Below are 26,249 nucleotides of genomic sequence, written 5' to 3'. Positions count from 1 at the left end.
TGGGTCTTTCCTGGTGACATATTAAGTGGGTAGTACTTGGGGAAATCCAAAACTATTAGTTTGGGGTTTGAACTCTGGACCGACGTTTTACGTAGAACCCTCCTGCTGCATCCTGAAAACCATCCATGTGTTTTCATAGCTCTAGAATGTAATAGAAACACTGCCACAATGTACATTTCAATTGCTTTTCCTGAAATGTAGAGGATGAAAAAAAAGGAAAGATAGCTATAGGACTCAGAAAAAATACTCATAGTTGCCTTTTGTTAATTCAAATGATCCTACAATTATTAGCTGTATTTCTATCACATTAGGAAGCAATGTTTATGCTTCTTTCTATAGATTTTGCACATCGTGGAGGAAAAACACTGGGATGATGACTTTTTTTTTTTTTTTGAGATGGAGTCTCAGTCTGTTGTCTGGGCCGGAGTGCAGTGGCACGATCTCTGCTCACTGCAAACTCTGCCTCCCAGGTTCAAGCAATTCCCTGCCTCAGCCTCCCGAGTAGCTGGGATTAAAGGTGCCTGCCACCATGCCTGGCTAATTTTTGTAGTTTTAGAAGAGACGGGGTTTCACCATCTTGGCCAGGCTGGTCTTGAACTCCTGACCTCGTGATCCGCCCGCTTCAGCCTCCCAAAGTGCTGGGATTACAGGCATGAGCCACCGCGCCCAGCCTGATGGCAATTTTAATACATAAACACTTACAAATAAGATGTATACAAGTATATTTAACCTAAAAGGCATATGACATATTTGCTACAACAAATATCCATTACTATTATATTTTTAAAGTAGAAATTATTATAGATATTTCTCTGATATTGCCGGATATTCTGTGTTTAGGAATATAGTGACAATATTGTTTTGGCACATATAGGAAATTGTGGTATTGTCAATAAGTAAGGGTTTTTCTGGCTTTTCCCCTCCTATTTCCTGTACGTGCCTCCAACCCTCTCTCCTACTTCCTTATCACATGAAGAAGACAGAGAAAGACTACTATTGATATAATTTTCAGCAAGTTACTGCCCAAAGAGTAGAGCTTGAGGAAAATCAGGTTTTATCAAGAAAAAGTATGCCAAAGGGGACTTTTAGGCCCCTTAAAGGTTTTTGTAATTGATTTTACATCATTTAAATTTGACTCTAAATATATTGAGTTTCCTTTTCCTTGTTAGAAGGAATAATTACAGGCATTCTTATGCTTCTCAACCACAGTTGGGATCATTTTCAGCTCAAAACTGGAACAAAGACCAGAAGAATTTTTTGTGGCAACTGAGAAAAAAAAATGCAAGAAAGGGAGAAAAAGGTTCGTAGTAAGGGTTGTATATTTAGAGTCTCTCAAGAAGGTGACAGCTGGACCTGGAGGGAAGACAAATTAAAAGTAGGGGTCCTGCCTGAAAGAAAGGAAAAGAGCCAAGGAAGAGATTTGTGCCAGTCCATTCTCTGCATGGGCAACTAGGTTGCTAGACATAATGACCTGGCAGGGGAAAATAATCTCCAGGAGGTAAGAGGAGTAGAGACTTTGCTACCAGCCTTTGGTGTACATGGAATATTTGTGTTTTGAGGGCTGTGACTGTATGATGCAATATTATTATTAAAATAGATATTGAAACTTACAAGAAATGTAGTCATGGATGTGCAATAATTAAAATGGTTATAGACATGAAGGCACACTGATTACTGGAACATATTTGTTATAGATTTTCCCTTTCTATCTCAAAGACAGATTTCCAATTTTTATGCTATCCCACACCAAGAGAACCTTGACTCACCATGTATTTAGTCAATTTCACATTCTTTTTCTCCGGAGGGATGAAGATGAAGTGCGTTTCTCTTTCTCATCCAGTGTCAATCCACTGTATGACCGTGACATGAGAATGTGGCCTCATCTTACCACTTCCAGTAGGGTTGGCTAATTTAAACAGACGGGTTTGGGGTAAGTCTCCATACCCTGCCTGATACCACAGTCTGGGAGGACAGGAAATGAACAAAGCCCTGAGCTTTCAGCTGAAAACACTCAGTTCCCCAAATTGCAGGTCAGATACCCACTAATGGAAGATGACCAACAGGGCTTCTGTGATCAAAAGGCTACACAGGAAAAGAACTATCTTCAAAGTTATCAAAGCCCAACCAGATGTTCAGCTTCAGATAAGACAACTACATCTTACACCCAGAAGGGAGCACTTTACCCACCGGCTAATGCTAATGCCTTTCACCCTAAAAGCAGCTGGGCTGGGTATCCAGTACGTTGCTTAGGGGCATCAGCTGACCCCACACTACTCACTACACTCTAGAGTTGGCCAGATCAGTGCTTACAACCTGCCTGCATTTCTTTTTCTTGTAAACTGAGTCTCACTTTGTTGCCCAGACTGCAGTGCAGTGACACGATCTTGGCTCACTGAAACCTCTGTCTCCTGGATTCAAGCGATTCTCCTGCCTCAGCCTCCAGAGTAGCTAGGATTACAGGCTCATGTGCCACCACGCCCAGCTAATTTTGTATTTTTAGTAGAGCTGGGGCTTTGCCATGTTGGCCAGGCTGATTTCGAACTCCTGACCTCAGATGATCTGCCTGCCTCGGCCTCCCAAAGTGCTGGGATTACAAGTGTGAGCCACCTCGCCCGGCCCTGCCTGCATTTCTTGTGCCACCCAAGGCATCACGAGCTGATAAGTAAGACATTAAAGTGGCATCTTGAGAGACTGCTTTCCCAAATGGGAACCAACCCTGGCTTCACATGAGAGAATTCAGAACTAAGGATTTAGAGCATTAATCATATGTTATCTGAAGGGAAACAACTCTAGCCCCACATGCTACTCATTTTAAGGATCTGATGCTATAAAACTACACCTGTATCCGCCATCTTACCCTCATTTCAGCCATCAATTGGAGAAGCAGCATTTCTGTCTTTAGGGGCTTAATCTGATGTCAGTAATAACCAGAACTTCCTCTGCAATGCTCCCTCTGCTGAGGGCAGAGCTCCTCACTTGAGGCCTCTAGATCCCTGAGAGTCCATGAATGGGTTTTAGAGGGTCCTTATATCCCCTAGGACTGTGCAGCAAATGTTCATGGCCCTGTGTGAGAAAGTCTTTGGCTCTCATCACATTGTCAAACGAATCTGTGACCAAAACTAGTGATTAGGAAACATTGCTCCAAAGCACAAGCCAATCAGTCCATGAAAAACCCTGTTAGGTGGGGAATAGAATAGTCAGCGCGTGCTTGTAGAAAGAGGTCTGATTTCAGGCGTTAGACCCTTGCACATCCGACAGACCCTGTGACTTGCGCCTCCAATGTGAAGATGGGTTGTTAACTTATCCTTGATTTACCACATCATGTCTCAAGAGATCAGAGGCCCTGACGATGGGGAATGTGATTAAAGTAAAAGAATCATCTCCACTTTAAGAAGAGCACGAGACATTGAAGGCTATTTGAAAGCTATTACAATCACTAAACTTCCAAAGCCAGGTGAAGCAGATAATCTCAGAACAGTGGCTACTGCGATGTCATTCACTTTCATATGTTTATTTTGTGATATAATGTTGTTGTGGCATAAGTCTAATTGTTATTACTATTTTGAGTGCTGAGTTCTGTATATAAAATACTACATTTCATCAAAAAATATACTTTCTTTTCTTCTTTAACATAATGTTATCATACAGTAAGGTCCAGAGTGTTTTCTGTCCGTAGCACTCCCATATTCTACCACGGGTTTAATAACCACCGCTCGATGGCCTGAAATAGAATGTTTATGGGTCCCAGACTCTCCCCATGACCATCTTTCTCTGTGCTCATAGTTCCCCTAGTCACAGCTACTTTTAATTGGTTCAAGTGCTGGACAAAATTGTTTAACTGTGGAAGAGGATTTTGTGCCACAAACTATATTCCTTTAAGGAATATCGTAAGTACAGCTTCCTGGTTTTTGCTGTTTGTTTCTATAACAAATAAATAACTTGTCCCTCTGGGCTTTCTCTGTTTTCATTCCCCTTTTACATTATAAGTCCTTCAATTCTGAGCCTTTAAGTAGCGGCTTCACCTTCAACACACACACACACACTCTCTCTCTCTCACACACACACACACACACACACTCACAGATATACCTTCCCTGGACAAAACCAAACTGTTGCATTTATTCCACTAGTGTTTCTCAAAGTGTAATCTGCAGGCAATTCACATCAGAGTCTTCATAGGGTGGGAGGATTTGTTAAAAATGCATATTCCTGCCAACCTCTAGACCAACCGTATCAGAATGCATGGAGATGGAACCTGGATGCTAAATTAGTTAACTCTTCCCGCACTCATCCAGGTGATTCTTAAACACACTAAAACTTGAGAACTGGCCGGGCGCGGTGGCTCACGCCTGTAATCCCAGCACTTTGGGAGGCCGAGGCGGGCGGATCACGAGGTCAGGAGATCGAGACCATCCTGGCTAACACGGTGAAACTCCGTCTCAACTAAAAATACAAAATAATTAGCGGGGCCTGGTGGCGGGCACCTGTATTCCCAGCTACTCCGGAGGCTGAGGCAGGAGAATGGCGTGAACCCGGGAAGCGGAGCTTGCAGTGAGCCAAGATCATGCCACTGCACTCCAGCCTGGGCAACAGAGCGAGACTCCATCTCAAAAAATAAAAAATTTAAAAAAAACTAAAAATAAATAAATAAATAAAACTTGAGAACCATTGCTCTACAAAAATCATTTCCTTTCTGGTGTCAGCCCCTATTTTTTTCAGGTCAAAATGGAGTTAATTTCTTATCCATGTTGTTCACCTCTGAGATCAGCGTCTCCTTGTCTCTTCCTAAGAAACCTTCTCTCGCCTGTCTCTCTGGCCTTTGATGGTAGTTTTTCTCTGGGCTATTTCTCAGTCCTTGCAGTCTACTTTTAGCAAGTCCTCAGGACACAGTTACTTACTTCTTCCTCCTCCTTAAGCTGCTCTAAAGAAACCCCTTTAGCATCCACAGCTCACACTGCCTAGCTCCAAACTCCCTTTACAATACCCTGCCCAGGGATTCACAGTAACATCTACCGGTTAAAGGTAAAGCCCCATGTGGTTCACAAAACTCATAGCCTTCCTCCTAAATGTTAAAACTACTCAAGATCACTTATTAACAGGTGTTCTCCAAATTTCTTAAATGAACACACACCACGACTACAATAAACAAAATAAAAACAAATTCTACTATTTCACCATTCTAACATACCAAATGCTGTCATTCATTTTTTTACGGCTCACATTTAATTCTTATTCACAACAAAATCAGAATGTAATTAAAATTTTTAATTCTGATTTTCTAACCTAACATCATATCAAACATATTTTCATAACCATCATAACTATGATTTTTAATGACTTTAAAAGAACCCATGGGCTGTGCGCAGTGACGTGCCTGTAATCCTAGCACTTTGGGAGGCCAAGGCAGGAGGATCACTTGATCCCAGGAGATGGAGACCAGGCTGGGCAACAAAGTGAGACCCCGTCTCTACAAAAAAAAAGTTAGCCAAGTGTGGTGGCACACGCCTGTGGTCCCAGCTACTTGGGAGGCTAAGGCAGGAGGATCAAATGAGCACAGGAGGTCAAGGCTGAGTGAGCTGTGATTACACACTGCACTCCAGCCTGGGTGACAAAACAAGACCCTGTCTTAAAAAAAAAAAAAAAAAAAAAAAAACTCATGGAGTTAATGTTGCCAGAACTCCTATTGCTTAGTGTTCAGGGTATTTTCAGATTTTGCTGCTATAAATGATAATACAGTGAATATGTTCATGCATATTACTTTTCTTTGAATTATTTATTCGGAATAAATTTCCAGGGGTGGAATGAATGGATCAAAGTGTATGAACACTTTAATGGCTCTTGATACATATCGTCAAATTGCCATATTTGTATTTTACACAGTTCCTCAGTAGCATGCTAGTAAACGTTTAACAACATGCTTGCCCCCCGCCCCGAAAAAAAAAAGGTGGGGAGCCTGATTTATTGTGTTTGCTGATTTTCACAGTGTACTTTTACCATAGCCAATTTCAAGCCACCATCATGACATCGCTGAATGCAAAATTGAAAACAGATGCTCAGATAGCACAATATTATATAGCATTTCCATCACACAGATAAAGAGAAGTCAATAATGTCACTGGCTTGGAAAATTTCTGAAAATATTACAATCAGCACTTGAGAGCAAGCCGGTTCTAGAACACCACTGTAAACATCTCCCTTGATATTTTGCAACAGCACATCTTTTTTTTTTTTTCATTGAAATCATTGAAAATTCACCCTGTTCCCATCTGTGTGACAATGAGCATGCTTTTAGGTCCATAGATGATGCAAATAATGAATAAAACCTAATGCAAAAAAAAAGGGGGGGATAGAGTGAACATCTAACACCTGTCCGGGTTGAATAATTCTGTCTACCCACCCTCAAACATTCATTTTACCGTGCTTTTTTCCATGAGGTCATGTATACAAATGATTCAATCATTTATTTACTTAACGAGGCACTGAATGGATGACTATACGTAGTTCTCAGGCAAATGTGATGAGAACCGTATCTTCTGTTTCTTAACCACTCTCTTCCTTGGGTTTCTTTTCTACGAAATGGGGAAGAGGTCACTGTGACTTCAGTTTTACGAGAAACTGAGTGCAGAGATAAGAAAGGTTCAACTTGTGCTCTAAGAAGCACTTGAACATTCAGTAATGCTCTGGAAATTTCTTCCAAAAGCAATTCATTAGTATTCTATTTTACCAGAAAAGAATGTGATTTGGTGCTTTCGCTTGAAAGCAACATCCCCTCTTTGGGCTGCCCCGGAATAATATATAGCTTCTACATGTATACAACACTTTGGTTTTTAAATGAGCGGCACCGTACGTTTGCGTGTTAAAATGCGGGTATGACTGAGCTAAACATCCTCATATCCTGGACCCAGTCACCCCGCTCCCGATAACTCATCTCAAGGAATGAACTCAAAACAAAGGAAAATACTTGCTGTGTGAAGATATTAATCACAATAGAGAGTAGATCAATTTGCCTCATTTCAGCACTTATTCAACTTACGGTTTCTGGGGCCCTGGTAGGAGAGTTCTGGATTCTTGGTTCCTAAATCCCCACCTGCAAAACGACCACTTTCCAAGTTGTTTTGGGGCTTGTATTTTTTAATCACACAGATTCCTGGACCTCACGTGAGGGCTGGGGTATGAGACATGGAATTTCAGTTTCTTAAAAGCTCCCCAGGTGGTTTTGCTGTCCAGCCAGCTTTAGAAACCACTATTCCACAGTGAGACACCAGACACATGATCGTGGTCTCTGAACAACTGTCCACATCCGGGGAACAGTATGACAACTTCTTGTGCAAGTCGTCAAAAGGTTGTTCAGGGCATTCAAGCAGTTGCTAGAGTCAAATGGCTAAAGAGCTCACAGAGGAGCCCTAAGTTTCTGGCACCCTTCCACCCCCCTGGGGTCATCCTTTCCATCTCTGACACCCTCCTTGCTCTCACAGCCCACCCCAGCCCCCACACTGTCATGCTGCCTCCCAGCCTCCACCTGTGCACCCCATCCTGACTTGTGCCCATCCCTTTTCATACACAAAGCTCCAGAGTCTCCTCCCTTAGGACACCAGTGGGACTCTAGAAGGAACACTATCACCGTGTGACTCACGTCATCTGCACACATAATTAGGAATCCCCTGCACAATTAACATGCCAGGTGGATTTGCATTTTTTTAAAGGAGGCTTTTAATCCAAAAAAATATTTATAACCTAGAGAGTGGAATGGGGAAGGAGGATGCTTTTTAATCCTGGCTTTCACCCAGATCCAAGCATCCCAAACCCAAATAAGCACTCACTGCCACAATGATCCCCACTCCTAAGTAGAAATGGAATTTTAGCTGTGCCTTGCTAGCACTAAAATTAACACATTGTAAGATAAAATAATTTAATTTAAACTGGGCAAGGAAGAAAGGTCATGCTCTCTGCCTCTAATGAAAAGCACCTCTAGAATTCCACCCCAAGCGTTCAGAGAGCGACGTCAACCAAGGAGGCCCACAAGTAATGCAGCGGATACTGAGAGGACCTCTCTCATCTCATAAGCTAGAGAAACTGTTACCAAATGGCTTAAAATAGCGGTTTCCAAGTTTGTTTTCCTTCTTTCATATGTATTCTCACTAGAAAAACACCCAACCCCTGTGCCTTGTCCATATTTGGTGCTCAAAAAACGTTAATTCCCAGCCTCCACCTGTCACCCTACTTTCCCTGGAAAGGAATGTTGGGATTAGGAGAGTTAGCTTTGCAGGCTTCTTGCTCTTAAGCCAGGGCTCATAACACCTTCATTTGTGGCAATAGCCAAGTCCTTAATAAGAATCATAAGAGTTGCATCTATTGAGAGATTTTTTTTTCAGTCAGGCACTAGGCTACATGCTTTACATATTTTTATCTCATTTGATCTCTACGACAACCCTCTGAGGTAGGTATTTTCAGTTATTATTACTGTTATTAGAGATATTTTGTGAATTTTTTTTTTAATCTGAGCATTGAAGAAGTTAAGTAACTTGTCTGAGGTTCCCACAGCCCAGAAATGATAGAATGATAGAATGGGGATTCCATGCAAAGTGATCTGGCTCAAAAGTTGGGTTCTTATTCACCGTGCTGTATGTTTGTTATTATATGGGTTCAGATATTTTATGGTCCAGAAAAAAAGTGTCTGAATTATTATGATCTACTGACTCTCTAAACAACGTCCAGAAAAAGAACAGAAGCATACCCGTGCCATCTCATTTAGACATGCAAAGAAAGTAGCACATATTTCATGGAATTTGGGGACTGGCTTTTGAGGAATAGAGACTTGCTTATCATTCATCAACCAACTCGTTCTCCCAAGAGGAAGGCCACTTTAATTCCTGGATAATTGAAGGGCCTCCTTAAAATGAAGAAACCAGAGGTGGAGGTCTTACTGGTACCCCGAGCCACACGAACCTTTCTCTGCATAAATGATGTCCTAAGGGAAGACAGTAGAGGGCAAATGGAGGCCCACAGCCAGGCACAGGGATGCAGAAAGCAGCCCCAAGTGGGAAGAGGCCACGCTCGACAAGCTCCCTCTCACATGGAATTCTGCTGGTGCCGTGAGAGCCGAGGAAGCGCAGCCGCAGGGCAGAAGGAGACCAAGGACTATTGAATGGGGTCACTTCTCCCCAGTGCCTGCAAGGTCCTCGCTTTTGTGTCCACACCCTAACTGTCTAATCTGATTTCCTGCAATGTGTAAAACAAACTGTCTTCTCTTCTCCAGTGTCTCTTCAACTGGCCTTATCATCTCCAGGTCAGTCTCGCCTTTGTGCCTTTGCCCACAAGGTCCTCCCAGTCTGAAATCACCTGCCCCTTCTCCTTCTACCGACACTTCGCATTCTTCCAAAGCCCAGATCTTCCTGACAACTCCAGTTTGCCCCCAGGCCCCCTCCATGGAATTCACAGAACTCTTCAAGCCTGTGCTGCCCCACTCATCACTGAATTCTCATCTTGCATTGCTTCCTAAATTTTACTTCTTATCACAACTACCAGATTATAGGGTCCTTCAAAGTAGAGATTTTTAAAATATTTCTCTTATATCCTCCACGGCACCAGCTTAGAACCAATAAGGGGACACCAACTACTTGTTGCCTGCTTGAATACGTCAATGGCAACTTTCATTTAGTAAAGCACCTAAAACCGGTGATTTCCCAAACTTTGTTTAGTTACAACTCAGGCTACTGACTGGTACCTCGTAGCATATCTCCAAATCAAACCACCTCAGAAGAAAGATTAAATTTAATTAAAAAATACATGTTATACATCATAGAGCACTTTTGGGAAATGGTCATTAACATTGGCAATAGGTGAAAAACACAAGCTAGAAATTCCAGATTGAAATCTACATCATTTAGACTTCGGTTCTGTTTCTTTTCTGAACTAGACAACTTTAAAATTCATATTTGCACAACTTAGAGCATCTTTAGATTTACTTCATCAAACCTTGGGTAGTATTTAAACTACCCATACAGTTGAGCTCAGCCACAGTCACAAGCATATGCATTCTCTAGAATATCTGGAAAACCAAAAAGCCAACTATTGTAACTTTTCATGTTTCAAAAATCTTGTTAGGACTGTGGTGAGGGGCAGTGAATATCAAAGCAACACTCACCCCCCCGACCCCCGTCCCCCTGTAAATTGATTCTACACCTTACAGCAGGTAGCTCAGAGTCATTACGATGTTTGGCCTAGAGTAAAAGCTAAATAAAATTAGAAAAATTTCTTTTGACACCAAAGAAATACTTTTAAGGAAGCAAAATCCTTACCTGTTGCAGAATGCCGAAGAAATGTCTTGACAGTAAAATGACTGACTCCGGAAATCAAATTTGTTCAACAAAAGCAGGTGAAAACAAAAGCGGCCCAAGCCTTTTCACTGTGGTTGATTTCCTCATAGGATCAACCTCTCCCTCGTTCCCGAGAATATTAACTGATTCACACTGGAAGAACTGAAAATACAACAGTTGGGCTGGCAGGGAGTCCACCCCAAGATGGTTGGGTTAGTGTGTGTGGGGCAGCAGGAGCAATCCGAATGTGACAAAAGAGATTAGCAAGTTCCTGTGCCTAAGTCAATTTCCTGTAGCCGGCTTCTCCGCAGAGGGGGTTTCATTTGTGTGGGTTTAGGGGGGTGTGTGTGCACGTGCGTTTCTCTCCATTAGAATATGAAACTTCCCCAGATCAGAGGCAGAATAAGGCCTTTGCCGCACCGCTGGGTTTGCGTTTAATTTATCCCCCACCCTACTCCGAGACTATGTTTCTCTCCCCCTTAGCCCCATTTTCCTCCAGCAAAGCCCTACGTAAAACTGAAGAAAGGAAGACTGAAGAGTCCAAATGATTCCTCATGGAAGTAAAATTACCAAAAAAAAAAAAAAAAAAAGTCCATGCCACTGACCAATCTTGGTTAATTTGAGCTTAGGAAACAACACCTTAGAACTTTCCCCCCATCAGCTTGGGGAAAACAAGAGGTGGATTGTCTGCTTCGCTTTGCTGCATTAAAAACTATCAAATATTTTGCAAAGAACAGAGGCAGGCTTAGTGAGAGTTCGAGCAGCCCCCTGCCGTGCGTTCACCCCTGTATGGACGAGCACCTGGGCTGGGAGTTACCTGGCGATGAGTTGTTTTTTCAGACTCCTCAGAGTTTCATTATTTGCCTAAAAACACAAGTTTACTTGTTTTGTCCTAATGGGCAATCCAGGTGTAGAGACCATCTGCAACTACTTAGGTTATGGCTAAACGCCTAACCCAACAAATTGAACTTTTGTGATGTGGTCACAACCGCCTGTGCCCCAAATCCCTGAATAACTAACTGTTGATGCTACTGCTCACGGTGATAGCTTGGTCAAAATACCTGCCGACCGTAAGGATAAAGTCAACTCCATGCCTTTTATTTTATTTTATCAGTGCATCGGCCCCACACTCAAAGATTTGAGTTTAATTGAGCTGGGTTGGGACCGGACATCAATATTATTTTAAACCCCTCTGATTATTCTAAAGTACTGCTGCCACTCTAATGGATGAGAAGGAGGAAAGAACATTCCACGTAGAGGCAAATAGTATGTGCAAAGGCCCTGAGGTGGGAAAGAGGTTGGCATGTTCAAAGAAGTGAAAGCAGATGACTGTGCTTGCAGCATAGTTGTAGAGGGAATCAATGGTACAAGGTGAGCATTCTTATCAATAGACACCCAATTACCAAGTTCACAAGACTTCCACATGAACCCATGTGTCAATTTGTTAATGCACAGTAAGAACTCAATCTGCCAGCTGAGATCCTCGAGCCTTCTGAAGAGCACATTATCTCCTAGAAAATCCTCTGTGGGAGGCCAGGTGCAGTGGCGGTGGCTCACACCTGTAATGCCAGCACTTTAGGAGGCTGAGCGGGGAGCATTGCTTGAACCTAGGAGTTCGGGACCAGCCTGGGCAACGTAGTGAGATCCCATCTCTACAAAAATTAGCTGGGCAACCACACCTGTAGTCCCAGCTACTCAGGAGTCCGAGGCAGGAGGATTGCTTGAACCCATGAGGTTGAGGTTGCAGTGAGCTGTGATCCACCACCACACTCCAGCCTGGGGACACAGCAAGACCCTGTCTCGAAAAAAGAGAGAGAGGGACAGACAGAAGGAGGGAAGGGAAGGAAAAGGAAGAGAAGGGGAGGGAAGGAAGGAAGGAAGGAAGGAAGGAAGGAAGGAAGGAAGGAAGGAAGGAAGGAAGGAAGGAAAAGAAAGAAAGGAAAGAAAGGGAAAATCCTCTGTGGAAAGCCAGATCACCATGGTGATGTTATCAGCTGAGCAGAACATAAGCTTGTGGATATTTTCTTTATCTACTTCTGGTTTTGTTCATCAAAGGATTTAGAGCATCTGGCAAAAATACTTACACCTTAGCAAAATGAAACAATTAAAAACAAGAAATTTGAAAATGAGGCCAAGAGAAGTGAAGACAAAAATGACACTAAAACTGGGGGTGAGGTTAATTACAGAGAATGTATGCCACGTGGTTCTATGCTCTTCAGCAACTGGTATGAAGCAGGAAATATCACCACACAGAAAGCTCATTGCCCGCGGGAGAAACATAAACACATAGCTCAGAATCATGAGGTCTTCCTGGCTCCCCAGTGCTGAGATTAAAGAGAAACTTTGCCCCCTGGATTCCCATAGAGAAGACAACACGGCTGAAGTGAAACACCATGTTTAGACTCCACGCAGCCAGCCACAAGTCCGTGAGGTGGTTCCTTACGCTGTTCCTCCATATATGCTGATTGCATCTCACCGAAGAGTTTACTAAAAGCAACTCCAGGGTGTGCGGCAGGGAGAGTGCAGCAGGAGATTAGTAAGAATGTGCCACCCCACAGCACCACTTTGATGTTCCAGTTTTATCCAGAGATGAAAAATGACTTCATGGGCCGGGCGCAGTGGCTCACGCCTATAATCCCCACACTTTGGGAGGCCGAGGCAGGCGAATTGTTTGAGCCCAGGAGTCCAAGACCAGCCTGAGCAACATAGCGACACCCAGTCTCTAAAATAATACTAATAATAACAATGACAATAGGCCGAGTGCTGTGGCTCACGCCTATAATCCCAAAACTTTGGGAGGCCGAGGAGGGCAGATCGCTTGAGGTCAGGAGTTCGAGACCAGCCTGGCCAACATGGTGAAACCCCGTCTCTTCTAAAAATACAAAAATTAGCCAGGCACGGTAGCTCATGCCTGTAATCCCAGCTACTCGAGAGGCTGAGGCAGGATAATTGCTTGAACCCAGTAGGCAGAGGTTGTAGTGAGGCAAGATCATACCACTGCACTCCAGCCTGGGCAACAGAGTGAGACGTCAGCCTAAAAAATAATAATAATAATAATAATAAAGAAAAATGACTTCAGATATGCTTCAGAAAATTCAGGATAAAAAGTTTCTCTCATCCAAGTTTCTAAAAGATTTAAAGAGGCAAAGAGTTCAAAATTGGTTGCCCCTCCAACAGGAGATCCAGTGTCCTTTAAGGGGGACAATGTCTCCCCTTCAGAAAGCAGAGGAGTCAGACAAGGACAGCTGCCTGTATGGACAGATCCCCTCCATCTCCTAAGTAGAAGGGGAGATGAGGCTCTGCCCTTTGGGAAACAAAGCAAGAAACGCCACCAGCATGATTTATAACGAGCTCCAGGCCTCAGGCCTTGTACCATTTTCTGCACGAAAGTGGAGACGTACTCCAGAGTCAGGATGGACTGGGTGTGTCCCACCCCATCCTGGAAAGGACTAGGAAGGGCATTGTCATACCTGGCTGCGAGACCCCTGTCCCTTTCACCCCCTGGCTGACCACCCTTCTGCTTCTGAAGAACTGGTTTTCTGTGCCTGGAATTGCCAGTTTTAGATGATCTGGTACAGTCCAGCGTTGGGCTTCCTCCTGCTCCTGACCTACACGCCTCTAATCTTCACACAGTTTAATCTCAGAGAGGATTTTCTTAGGGGGAGGGGACAGGGGGTTGCCATCTAATTTTCTTCCTTCCTTGAAAATGTCTTTTTGGTGTTTCTCTCTTTCTCTCTCCCCACTCCCCTCCTCCCCCACCCCGCCCCTCCTCTCCTCTCTCTCTCTCTCTCTCTCTCTCTCTCGCTCTCATTCTTTTAACAGACTTTTAACCGACAGGGGTAGTGGTGAGGGGAGGAAGCAAACGCTGAAAATACATGCAAACATTCACAGACATACACGCACCCAAGCCCCAGGGCGTGTCCCTTCTGACGCTGTGCAGTCTGTCCTTGGGATGGGGTTGGGAGAAATCCTGGGGACTTCAGAGTGGCAGGAGGAGGGAAACCATGGGTCCACAGTTCGTAACTGGGAATCAGAGCCCCCCTCTGAGCCATCTTCCAGGAAGCCATCTGTAGCCACCACCCACCTCCATTGCAAGCCCAGTGAGGTGCCCTCCCAAGGGCTCCATAGCACGTCGTGTTAACACGGCCAGAGCACTCACCAAATGGCCCTGCAGTGTTCACTTCAGAGGTCCCAGGGCTCAGGGTCCAGCCTTGCCCACTCAGAAATCCAAGGTACTGAACAACCACTTTCTGACCAATAAATAGATTGATTCTCCCATCTCACAGCCTCACAGCTGCCCTTTATGGTAAACACTTTAAACCCTATTTTAACAGCCAAGGAAACAGAGACTTCAGCTGGTTAAATGATTTGCATAAGACCCTATGGCCTAAGAAAACCAGAACCAAGATTCACCCCATTCATCTGTCCTGGCTGTCACTCCCGCTGCCTCCCCACAGAGAGAACTGAACCACCGTGGGCAACGAGGAGCAGCCAGAGCCCCAAGGCCCATTTTCTTGGCCCTAAACATGCCCCCTCCAGGATTCCCTGTGCAAACGGTCCCCTTCAGGTCAAGGTGAAAAAGCAAAGACTTACTTTCTCAAAACCACCTTCATCAGAAATGTTCTCTGATATGGCAAAAGAACAGCTTACTTTAATATTCTCCTGTGAACAAAGACCTCTTTTATTGAGGTTTTTTAAATAATATGACAACTACTTGTGTACCCTGAACTCATGCATAAGTACTATGTTTGCTCATTGCAAAGGTGTTGTGCCACTTACGCCAGCGAAAACTCTTAATGACAATTGTAATTGTATGAATAGTAAATCTTAGAAACCTTGAGACTTGAGTCATCTACTAAATTATTTCAACGCTGGGTTAGTAAGATGCCTTTCCCTCCCCCTTGCTATTAGCATATTAACAGAAATGATGTAGATTCAGTGGGTAGCTTTTAATGTTTACACAGACCCTCATTTATGCCACCTAATAAAATATTTCAGTGAGTTGTGAAGATAGGTAATATGTACTAAAACCTTGTCTGAAGGCTTTGAATTTCAAACTCAGGCCATTAGTCGTATTGCAATTATTCTCACCCAGCTCCCCACTGGATGATGAACAACTGTATTAAAACAAAATATCCTTTCTTTCTGATTGAGAGATTTCATGATGGGAACTATAAAATGTTAAGAGAATGATCTTAATTCTGATGTAACTTTTAGTGTAAAAATACATTCATATAAAATACTTTTTAAATGCTGAATATTGAAATAGCTTCAAAATGCCACAGGCTAGAAATCTCATGGGTGATTTCCTCTTTATGCATTTTAATTCATTATTAAAAAAAAAAAACCAGCCTCCCTAACCAGGTAATAGCATTTGAAACATCTTCTAGCTTCCCTCTTATTGCCATAACCATAAAAACATCATTTCCCCTGCTGTTATTCTCATCATTTATTTTCTCTTTAAATATGTTAATGTATCATAACATATTGCTTTTTGTTTCAGTGAATATTCGGTTCTCAGGATTCTCAGCTGCCATGTTTATTCTGGTTTGTTTGCCCTGGATTACTGTATTGATCTAGCAAACATTCACATCCTGGTTCGTTTTATTGCAGAGCCATAATTCATAAGAAGACAGAGTCTTGTTGCGGAAGATGATAGCACCCAAAGTAATAATTCAAGCTGTGGCTCTAAAGTTATGATACAACTTTTTCTAAAAAGTCTGTCAGAGCAGAGCAAATGTAGTCAAATGACCGTTTCCCTTCAAAGCAGTCCCTCGATAGTTGATGCGCTTTTGCAACATCACAGACATGAGTCAAAGTGCATTTAGACCCTTTTTACAATATCCTTGAGAGACAGCTTAATAAACTACAAAACAAAACCAGTATCTGCATTCTGTTCACAACTTGTTTTTGACTCAAAATAGTATATGGCTTTTTAACCCACCTTATTCACTGGATGTAGCTCCGAATGGCTGTCTCCTAAAATCAAATCCACTCTAAAAGGAAAAAGATTTTGCAATCATTGACAAAGTTTTTAAAGATTGTGCGGCAGGCTCTGAGAGTGAGTCCAGAGGAGGAGTTTAAAATGTAGTGTTAGTAAGAGCAGTATCTTTGGGTCAAGGGCCCGAGCTCCTAGGGAATGACTGCAAAGCACAGGACATGCACAGTGATGTAGAAATTCATCAGCGTGAAGAGTGAAGAAGAAGGTGATCACTGCTTCTTCTCAAACTCATGTCTTACTCGTTGCATTGATAGGGATCTTCAGTTTGAGCACAAACATCACAGGGTAACTGCAACCCAGCACATCTGCTCACAGCGGGCGTTGCAAACATTTCAGTTGTAAGGCAGGGCAGACCGAGTGTTAATTTGCCATCTTTTCAAAGTAACAGATCTCCTCACTGTTCTGGAGGGAACAGGTTGAAGCTTAAACTGAAAGGCAATCTGAAATTTTGGAGAAAGTATACATTTGGATTCAGACAAAGCAAGATTCGAATCCCGGCTCCACTTATTACTAAGGATGAGGCCCCGATCTACCCAACTGCAAAACAGGTATAATATCTAGCTTGGAAGAGTTCTATTTAAAAAAAAAAAAAAAAAACCTGACTCATGCTTGGAATACAGTGAATGCTCAATACACAGTGGCTGTTATTAGCCACTCCTCTTTTGGATTTTTGCTTTCTGGAGTTTTTTTCCCCCTCCATCCGTACCCCCTCTTTAAATAACAACTGTTGAATTGAAAAATTTGAGAAGCTTTGGCAGGGCCCAAATTCACGTGGAATAAAGTCACAGAAACTCACACATCACTCAGAGGATTCTAATGTCATGTGTTTATTGTCACAATGAGTTAAAAGGACACAGAAAATTTAAAATCAAATTGTTAATGACATTTTATTCCTTATGCATAATCTGAGCAATGCAGAATCTTCAGAGGTGCCTCCTGAAGCCATCTGGTTGCCCCGTTACAAATGCCCTAAGATAAATGAGAATTTATCCTTTCATTCAACAAATATTTACTGAACACTTGCTATAATACTTATTGAGCACTCGGCTAGGTGCCAGGGAGACAGCAGCGAACAACAAGAACAGAAATAGCCTGCTCGCCTGAGTTTATATCTACGTATTAGGAAGACAAGCAATGAATATGAAACTCTAGTAGTAGAATATGTTACAGTGAGCTAATTACTAAGAAGAAAAGCAAAGTAAGGAAGGGGGATAGAAAACTTGGAGGGTGCATATTTAAAAAGGATGGTCAGGAAAGTCCTTCATAGAAAGACGAAAAATGTAAAGTCTTTTAAAAAATATCCTAAAGCCATTTTAATGTTCAATGGTCTTATTTTATGTTTGTGTGTGTGTGTGTGTGTATGTGTCTGTGTGTGTGTGTGTGTTTGAGACAGACTCTCCCCTCTCCCCATGTCGCCCAGGCTGGAGTGCAGCAGCACAATCTCTGCTCACTGCAACCTCCACCTCCCGGGTTCAAGCGATTCTCCTGCCTCAGCCTCCTAAGTAGCTGGGATTACAGGGGCCTACCACCATGCCCAGCTAATTTTTGTATTTTTAGTAGAGATGGGGTTTCAGCATGTAGGCCAGACTGGTCTCAAACTCCTGACCTTAGGTGATCTGCCCCCCTCAGCCTCCCAGAGTGCTGGGATTACAGGCGTGAGCCACCGCGCCTCGCCATAATGTTCAATGGTCTTTATCATCGGCGTAAATCCGTAGGTTTAATGATCATCAGGTATCACCAAGTCCTGGCTCCTCCTTGCTGATGCACAGTCCGCTTCCTATTCTGCCCATACCTGCGAGCGGGAGAAGCTGATCACGCAGCTTTACTCGGGGGCCAAGTTGGTGCTCATCTCTCAGCCCCATTCCTCCACTTCACTGCTCAGTCCTCCACCCTTCTGAGTCCTTTCTGAGTCTCTTCTCTGAATCTTTGAAAGTCTTTTCCATCACAGACTGCCATGGAGAGAGAACTATAACCAGAGCCAAGTACCTAGTGGAAAATTCCAGGGTTGTAGGGTTGTAGGAGCTTTTTCAAGACGCAGCACCACCATGCTGCTTTCTTCTTCAGCTTGTTATTCTCTGCTCCCTTGATGGTGTTTTGTTTTGTTTTGTTTTGTTTTGTTTTGTTTTGTTTTGTGTTTGAGACAGAGTCCCGCTCTGGCGCCAGGCTGGAGTGCAGTGGCGCAATCGTGGCTCACTGCAACCTCCCCCTCCCAGGTTCAAGCGATTCTCTTGCCTCAGCCTCCTGAGTAGCTGGAATTAAAGGCACACACCACCATGCCCGGCTAATTTTTTGTATTTTTAGTAGAGACGGGGTTTTGCCATATTGGCCAGGCTGGTCTCAAACTCCTGACCTCAGGTGATCCACCCGCCTCGGCCTCCCAAAATGTTGGGATTACAGGCATGAGCCACTGCACCCGGCCTCCCTTGATCTTTGTAATCAGAGCATACTGATAATTTCATAATAATGGTCACACTGCCTTACCATTTATTAGGCACTACATTAGTCAGTAAAGCACTTTTTTTTTTTTTTTTTTTTTTGAGATGGAGTCTCACTCTGTCACCCAGGCCCGAGTGCACTGGCGCCATCTCAGCTCATTGCAACCTGCGCCTCCCAGGCTCAGGTGATCCTCCCAACCTCAGCCTCCTGAGTAGCTGGAACCACAGGCACACACCACCCCGCCCAGCTAATTTTTGTACTTTTTGTAGAGTCGGGTTTCCCTATGTTGCCCAGGCTGGTCGGAAAATCCTGGGCTCAAGGGATCCGCCTGCCTCAGCCTCTCAAAGTGCTGGGATTGCAGGTGTGAGCCACTGCATCCGGCCCAGTTAAGCACTTTATATGCATTTTCCCACTTAATCATCCCAATAATTATGAGGTAGGTACCACTGTTATCTCCATTTGCAAAGGAGGAAACTGAGGCACAGAGAGATTAAGTATCTTGCTCAGGGCCACATGGGCAATAAACAGCACAGCCTGTGATTCCATAGTCTACCTTTGCACATCTTTATGATGGTAGCCGGTTGACTTTTGCCAATATCTTTGGTATCCTTGACTTCAGGCTGTGGCTACATCATTTAAATATTACTTGTTTGGTCTCTCCACTAAGTGAGTACCCCAGCCTCTCAAGCTGGTTTGCCTGATCCTGAATTCCAAATGGCTCATTGACAAAGATCAATTTGAAACTTCAAAGGCTACTATTATTCTCATCCAAAAAAGAAGAAACATTTTCTTTTGTTGTTGTTGTTTTTCCTCCCTCCTCCAGAAGAAACCTTTTCCTTTGCCCTCACTCTGTTCCTTGCACTTTTAAAGAACAGTTCTTTGTCTCTTTTTGTCTTTTTATTCCTAAGATGCCTGTAATTTCCTGGGTTAGCCCAAGTTTTAGACATTCATTTTTAAATGCCATTTTTATTAGCTATCACCATCATACAACTAAGCAAAAGGAATTCCACCCACTAACGCACAGTTTCTGCTGATGATGTGAACGACATGTGTGAGAATGGCTTTCATCTGCCCTCCTGAGTTTTGGAAGATGTTACAGACATATGCTGATTTATAGATGAGGTGTGTGATTGTCTTCTGAAAGTCACTCAAAACTAGAATTGATATGACTTGTCAATTCATAATCTGAACAGGTTAGCTCTCTTAAGTGAATAAAATGCATCTTAGGCTGGGCACAGTGGCTCACGCTTGTAATCCTAGTGCTTTGGGAGGCCAAGGTGGGAGGATCACTTGAGCCCAGGAGTTTGAGACCAGCCTGGGCAACATAGCAAGACCCCATCTCTACAAAAAAATAGAACAATTTTAAAAATAAATAAATAACTGTGTCATATAGTGACATATAACCAACACAAGGAAGTCAGGGTATGTCCTGAGTTGGAAAGTAAATGACCAGTGTCGTTTTAATTACATGTAGCCATTTAAATTTTTTTTTGCACAAATGTCCAGAATGTGTACAGATTTTTGGCTTTGGATGAATGTAGGCTTTGTTTGTTTGTTTTTAAAGATTCCATTTACAGTATTAAAAATGGTCAAGAAAATCAGCTTACCAGAACACAGCACACTCCTTAAGTTTTCCTTACTTCAAGAGAAATTTTATAGTTGACCTATTGGCAAATCAGGAATAATCTGGCTAAAGCTTTGGGAGGCCAGATTCAGATTAGCATATCCCTTCTTCCTCACCAATTAATTTCTTGTCTTGGTAGTATTCCCTGCTTAAGATAAATGATAAATGTTGAGTCAGTGAAGTAAAATTGTGAATTTCATTCACTTTATTACTGATGCAATTATCATGAAAAGAACCAGCTTAAAATATCTGTGTGAAAATGAGTACTTATTTATAAATTGCAATTGGGCCCATAGATAAAAAACAACAGTGACAACAACAAAATATGTCATCCAGATGAGACTTGATACCAGTTGGCATGACTTATCAGGAAAAATAGTCATGGGCTCAATGAAAGAGAGACAAGTATGGGCACGAGTCAACCATGTTCTTCTTGAAGGCAATGATTTCCTTTCTTTGATCCTGGTGGCTCAGTCCTAGGAAGCAGACAATATCAGCTCACTGCAAATCAAAAAATCTTTAATGACATGGGAACATGCTCACAATATACTGTTAAGTGAAAAAAGCAGGTTACAAAACGAATTTGGATTCAACTTGTTGTATACACACATGCCAATGTTTATAGAGGCAACCTCTAGGTCAGGGGTCCCCAGTCCTGGGGCTGCAGACCAGTACCCACCCGTGGCCTGTTAGGAACTGGGCCGCACAGCAGGAGGTGAGCAGTGGGCAAGTGAGTATTTCAGGCATGAGCCATGCTGCCCAGCCACATATTTCCCAAATGTTCTGTAATGAGCATCTATCATTTAGATGAACCAGATGAAAAGTTGTTGTTCCTTTTTTATTTTTCTTAATTTCATTGAGCAAGTCTACCTAAGTTTTCTCTATAAACCCTTGTCACTGCTTCGGTCACAATGTTTTACATAATAACCAGTGATTTTTATAGCAGTTGATTCTCAGGGGAGAATCACTGAACCACAGCTAAGCATAGCAAAGTCATCTTCCTCATTACTCAGCTTACATAGGATCATATTTAGAGGATTCCAACCCAATGCCAATTCAAACTTCCAGACAGACTCCAAAAACAAGGGATTCCAGAGGCTTTTGCATCAAACCTCTTAAAAGGCCTGTCTTAACTTTCCCTTAAAATGGAAATTATACCTGGGAAACACATCCTGGGCAATCTCAGTAGCTTTCTCTTCTCATGGGAAGATAAAGGAGTACTCAAAAATAAAAAAGTGAGGTTTCTGGGTAATTAATTCAGTGTCTGTGCTCAAAAAGAAAGAGGTAGTGGGAAATGCTTGAGGATCATTAGAGGAAAACATGTTTGTGACAAGTGCAGTCAAGGATTGCAAGGTCTGGTTTCAAACTAAGCCTGCTGCGTTCTCATTATTATTATTATTACCTAAATTATTGTAGCTGTGCATTTTTTTAATCATTTAAAAGAAAAGGAAGTAGTTTTGTAATTTCTCCTAAATGAGTACCTTCCTGCTTACATGGCATTTTAAATTACATATAAAATTTCAAGATTAGTCATAAACAAATGTTTTTTGCTTTTTTTAAAAACCACATAAACCTTTTAAAAAGTAAAATTTCTATTAAAATGTTTTTTTCCAAATAATAAGTTTAAGTTCTCAAATGTTTACCAAAAACAAAACAAGCTTTACAATTTTGAGCAAACCTATCTCTATAGTATTTATTATTCAAAATAGAAAATAAAATTGTTTTTGTTCTCTAATTCTTGTCTTTTAATCTTCTAAATATACAATAATGAGATTTCTAAAAATACTTTGAAAGGGTATTCACATTACTAAGTTTTCTTTTAACTTTAAATTTTTTTCTTTCAAATTCAATTTACAATAGCCTTTTATATTATCATTTATCACAAGAAAACCATAAAACAGCAAAAACCACTATTGCTATTATTAGCAACATCTTCACTTTGTAAATGAGAAAAGTGAAGTTCAGAAAGGTTAAGCAACTTACATAAGGCCACACAGCCAATGAGTAAGGGGACTCCCTGAATCAATTTACTTCTACAGCATTTCCCCTTACAGAAGACAAATTACTTTTCAAATTAATTCATTACAGGACAACAAGAGGCACACGTCGAATGGAAGGGAGACCTGAAAAAAATAGAGAAAAACTGTTATTTTTAAAGGGACATGGATTTATTATTACAAAGAGTAAGCTATAAAATTAAACTATCTGTACAGTAAAATCCCAATTTATTTTTTATTTTATTTATTTATTTATTTATTTATTTTTTGAGACAGAGTCTTGCTCTGTTGCCCAGGCTGGAGTGCAGTGGCGCAATGTCGGCTCACTGCAACCTCCGCCTCCCAGGTTCAAGCGATTCTTACGCCTCAGCCTCCCGAGCAGCTGGGATTACAAATGTGTGCCACCACGCCCAGATAATTTTTGTGTTTTCAGTAGAGATGGGGTTTCTCCATGTTGGCCAGGCTAGTCTCGAACTCCTGATCTTTGATGATCCACCTGCCTCGGCCTCCCAAAGTGCTGGGATTACAGGCATGAGCCACCATGCCCAGCCCAAATCTCAATTTAATATGAAAAAAATTTTTCACGTCTGAAAGGCAACAAATAATTAGACCCGATAGTAATAGTGACTGTCTCTGAATGGTAAAATTGGAGATAATTTTTTCACTTTTTTCTTTAATTTTTTGTACTCTGCAGATTTTTAATGATCAGTAAGGATTAACTCTATAATCAGAAAAATAAACATTACAATCTATTTTTAATAAAGAGCTGTACTCATATAGTTTATTCTCTTCAGTGATTCTCTAATGTATTTGGTTTCACTTCAGTTTTTTGCTTTGCTGGGAATTTTTTATTTAAAAAAAAAAAGGCAGATGAAGTTTCATTGTAAAGAAAAAAAAATAATGTGAAGTCCAGTGCTGCATTTTGAGGGCCTGTTTCTCCATTCTAGCCCGTGCAGCCATACAGGGAAGCTTCTGAGAACTTAATCTGAAAACCATTTTTGTGGTTTTCTTTGTCTCCACAGTAAGTCCCACGTTTAACATAGATGACTACCTGCCCGATAGTCATGTCTTCTTCCTTGCTAAAGAACCTCTATTTTGAGATGGACAAAATGTTCTGTTCCAGGGGGTGAATCATGATGTCTAAGACTGAAAAAGAATCTTCTGATTCCTGCTTCTCAGCTTCCCCTGCAGCTATGAGTGGCTGTGTGACCCAGTCCTCATCAACGAAATGTTCGGGAAAGTCTTGCTTGCTCCTGGGAGAGGTCCTCCTCACCAGTTAAAGTAGACACGGGCAGGAGCACCCGTCTTCCTTACATGCTTTGGGTGTAGCCGTGGAGAATTAGATGCCTTGAAGGTTGCAGCAGCCCTGAGGACAAGCAAAGAAACCCAAAAAACTGCAGAGAGACACAGCAGAAGCCTGGCATTGTTGACTCACTTACCACCTCTTACTTTTTATTATGTGAGATAAATGTCTTACCTAAGCCACAGTTCATTACTCTAATACTTGACTGTCTTCTAATGATATAGTAACAAATAACAAAAAGCTTATGACGTTGAAGCTACCAACCTCTTATAAAATGTAAAAAGTAGGCCGGTCGCAGTGGCTCACGCCTGTAATCCCGGCACTTTGGGAGGCCGAGGCGGGCGGATCACGAGGTCAGAAGGTCGAGACCATCCTGGCTAACATGGTGAAACCCCGTCTCTACTAAAAATACAAAAAAATTAGCTGGGCACGGTAGCGGGCTCCTGTAGTCCCAGCTACTCGGGAGGCTGAGGCAGGAGAATGGCGTAAACCCGGGAGGCGGAGCTTGCAGTGAGCAGAGATCGCGCCACTGCACTCCAGCCTGGGCGACAGAGCCAGACGCCGTCTCAAAAAAAAAAAAAAAATGTAAAAAGTAGTTTAGCCAATACCCAACCTAAATGGCCAAAAATGTAGAATACTGTATAGAAATGATTGGTAGATTATCTTACTGGGATGTTACACACGGTCATTTGAAAATAGTATTTGGGAAGATCATGTGACCACATAAGGAGATGCTCATGATACAAGGTTACGTGCAAAAAGAGAAACAGGACTTGGGATTGTATCTGTGCATTATGACTACAACAGTGTTTCCAAAGACTATGAGGAAGCAAAGCCAAACCACTAACAGGAATTGTCTTAGGGTAACATGGTTGGTTTTATACATTCCTCTATTTTCTAAATGTTGGAACTTACACAATTTTTATATTAAAAAATATTAAATGGGGCCACGCATGGTGGCTCATGTCTGTAATCCCAGCACATTGGGAGGCTGAGGTGGGCAGATCACCTGAGGTCAGAAGTTCAAGACCAGCCTGGCCAACATGGTGAAACCCCGTCTCTACTAAAAATGCAAACATTAGCTGGGCGTGGTGACAGGTGCCTGTAATCCCAGCTACTTGGGAGGCTGAGACAGGAGAATCGCTTGAACCTGGGAGGCAGAGGTTCCATTGAGCTGAGATCCAGCCACTGCACTCCAGTCTGGGCAACAGAACAAGACTCTGTCTCTCTATACATATGTATATATATATTAAATGGACCAGCCTGGGCAACATGGCGAAACCTCGTCTCTACAAAAAAAAAATTTTAGCCCGGCATGGTGGCGTGCACCTGTAGTCTCAGCTTCTTGGGCACTGAGGTGGGAGGATCGCTTGAGCCTGGGAGGTGGAGACTGCAGTGAGCTGTGTTCCCGCCACTGCACTCCAGCCTGGGTGACAAAGTGAGACCCTGTCTCAAAATAAATAAATAAATAAAATGAACTCAGACAAGCAATTAGCTTACATCCCTGGAAGGATTTATACCAAATACAAGGATCTATTTGGCTCCCTACTGCCTACAGGACAAAAGGAAACTTCTCAGCCTGACCCTCAAAGCCTTTCCTAACGTGGCATCTGCCTCTCTTTCTAGCCTGATCTTTCACCCATGTCCTGTTCGAAGCACATGAACACCTTTTCCTGTCTCTGCGCATGTTCTTGTATCAGCCTGAAAAGCCTTTACTGTATGCAAGGTAAAACACTGTTAGTTGTGTTAGAGACTGCTGACTATCCCCCAAAATCCGTTTCCTTAGCAACAGAACATAATTTTCAACTGAGCACTGTAGCCAATAATAAAGGTTATTTTTCCCAATCTTCTTTTCAGCTGAATGTAGTCATGTGGCTAAGTCCTGGGTAATGGGGTGTAAGCAACCTCCAGGCAATCCCAGGAATGTCTTTAATGGGAAGAAGTACTCTCTTCTTTGTCCTTTCTCTTTTTTGGAGACAGAGTCTTGCTCTGTTGCACAGGCTGGAGTGCAGTAGCATGATCTCAGCTCACTGCAACCTCCGCCACCTGGGTTCAAGCAATTGTCATGCCTCAGCCTCCATAGTAGTTGGGACTACCGGTGTGTGCCACCATGCTCGGCTAATTTTTGTATTTTTTAGTAGAGACGGGGTTTCACCATGTTGGCCAGGCTGGTCTTGAACTCCTGACCTCAGGTGATCTGCCTGCCTTAGCCTCCCAAAGTGCTGGGACTAACAGGCGTGAGCCACCGCACCCGGACTTCTTTGTCCTTTCCTTCTTAAGTGCTTACTTAAGTTTGAGCAGCCACCTTGAACTGTGAAATGAAAGCCGCGAGTTGAGCTCGGAGGAACAAGAGAGAAGAAAGCCAAGTCCCTGAAGATGACATTGCTGCCATACCAGCCTTGGAGCACCTACCTCTCAGTTTCATTTGCACAGTAGGGAAAAACCAACTTCTATCTTGCACAGCCCACCATTGCTTGGGGGTTTTCTGTCACATACAATTTAATCTAATCCTAATTGATATGTTAATCTACAAGATGAGCTAGTATCGAAAATGTTTTGAGAAGAAGGGATG

At 42.5% G+C, this 26,249-nt stretch overlaps 2 protein-coding genes across 16 annotated transcripts in view, besides 8 other annotated features; both read right to left on the bottom strand.

Annotated features, from left to right (window-relative positions):
* The window catches only part of RHOH (ras homolog family member H), a 55,888-nt gene extending 39,369 nt beyond the window's left edge, over positions 1-16,519 (bottom strand). For 6 of the 15 annotated variants that reach the window (NM_001278361.2, NM_001440378.1, NM_001278360.2 and 3 more), the window contains exon 1: positions 10,299-10,568. The gene's annotated coding sequence lies outside the window, so the exon portion shown is untranslated. Of the gene's footprint in view, positions 1-1,766; positions 1,887-7,033; positions 7,088-10,298; positions 10,569-13,786; positions 13,937-14,475; positions 14,641-14,909; positions 14,944-16,260 lie in introns of those variants that run through there. The other 9 variants (NM_001278364.2, NM_001278366.2, NM_001278365.2 and 6 more) reach the window with 8 other exon arrangements.
* Positions 2,560-2,619: an enhancer, noted in NCBI's record as "active region_21479". NCBI's record gives its function as "activates an Ori minimal core promoter by ATAC-STARR-seq in GM12878 lymphoblastoid cells {active_cell/tissue: GM12878}" and the evidence as "EXISTENCE:reporter gene assay evidence [ECO:0000049][PMID:35858748]".
* Positions 9,496-9,595: an enhancer, noted in NCBI's record as "active region_21478". NCBI's record gives its function as "activates an Ori minimal core promoter by ATAC-STARR-seq in GM12878 lymphoblastoid cells {active_cell/tissue: GM12878}" and the evidence as "EXISTENCE:reporter gene assay evidence [ECO:0000049][PMID:35858748]".
* Positions 12,773-12,822: an enhancer, noted in NCBI's record as "active region_21477". NCBI's record gives its function as "activates an Ori minimal core promoter by ATAC-STARR-seq in GM12878 lymphoblastoid cells {active_cell/tissue: GM12878}" and the evidence as "EXISTENCE:reporter gene assay evidence [ECO:0000049][PMID:35858748]".
* Positions 12,863-13,072: an enhancer, noted in NCBI's record as "active region_21476". NCBI's record gives its function as "activates an Ori minimal core promoter by ATAC-STARR-seq in GM12878 lymphoblastoid cells {active_cell/tissue: GM12878}" and the evidence as "EXISTENCE:reporter gene assay evidence [ECO:0000049][PMID:35858748]".
* Positions 13,562-13,701: an enhancer, noted in NCBI's record as "active region_21475". NCBI's record gives its function as "activates an Ori minimal core promoter by ATAC-STARR-seq in GM12878 lymphoblastoid cells {active_cell/tissue: GM12878}" and the evidence as "EXISTENCE:reporter gene assay evidence [ECO:0000049][PMID:35858748]".
* Positions 14,222-14,581: an enhancer, noted in NCBI's record as "active region_21474". NCBI's record gives its function as "activates an Ori minimal core promoter by ATAC-STARR-seq in GM12878 lymphoblastoid cells {active_cell/tissue: GM12878}" and the evidence as "EXISTENCE:reporter gene assay evidence [ECO:0000049][PMID:35858748]".
* Positions 17,129-26,249, bottom strand: part of N4BP2 (NEDD4 binding protein 2) — a 133,621-nt gene continuing 124,500 nt past the window's right edge. The window contains exons 17-18 of the transcript XR_007057942.1: positions 20,361-22,500; positions 17,129-17,286 (exon numbers count right to left, since the gene is read on the bottom strand). The gene's annotated coding sequence lies outside the window, so the exon portion shown is untranslated. The remainder of the gene's footprint in view (positions 17,287-20,360; positions 22,501-26,249) is intronic.
* Positions 17,349-17,398: a silencer, noted in NCBI's record as "silent region_15378". NCBI's record gives its function as "represses an Ori minimal core promoter by ATAC-STARR-seq in GM12878 lymphoblastoid cells {active_cell/tissue: GM12878}" and the evidence as "EXISTENCE:reporter gene assay evidence [ECO:0000049][PMID:35858748]".
* Positions 21,714-21,783: an enhancer, noted in NCBI's record as "active region_21473". NCBI's record gives its function as "activates an Ori minimal core promoter by ATAC-STARR-seq in GM12878 lymphoblastoid cells {active_cell/tissue: GM12878}" and the evidence as "EXISTENCE:reporter gene assay evidence [ECO:0000049][PMID:35858748]".

This window comes from Homo sapiens, chromosome 4 (genome assembly GCF_000001405.40).
Source record: "Homo sapiens chromosome 4, GRCh38.p14 Primary Assembly".
NCBI lineage: Eukaryota > Metazoa > Chordata > Mammalia > Primates > Hominidae > Homo > Homo sapiens.
Note: the sequence above shows the minus strand (reverse complement) of the source record. Positions and strands in the feature narration are given on the sequence as shown.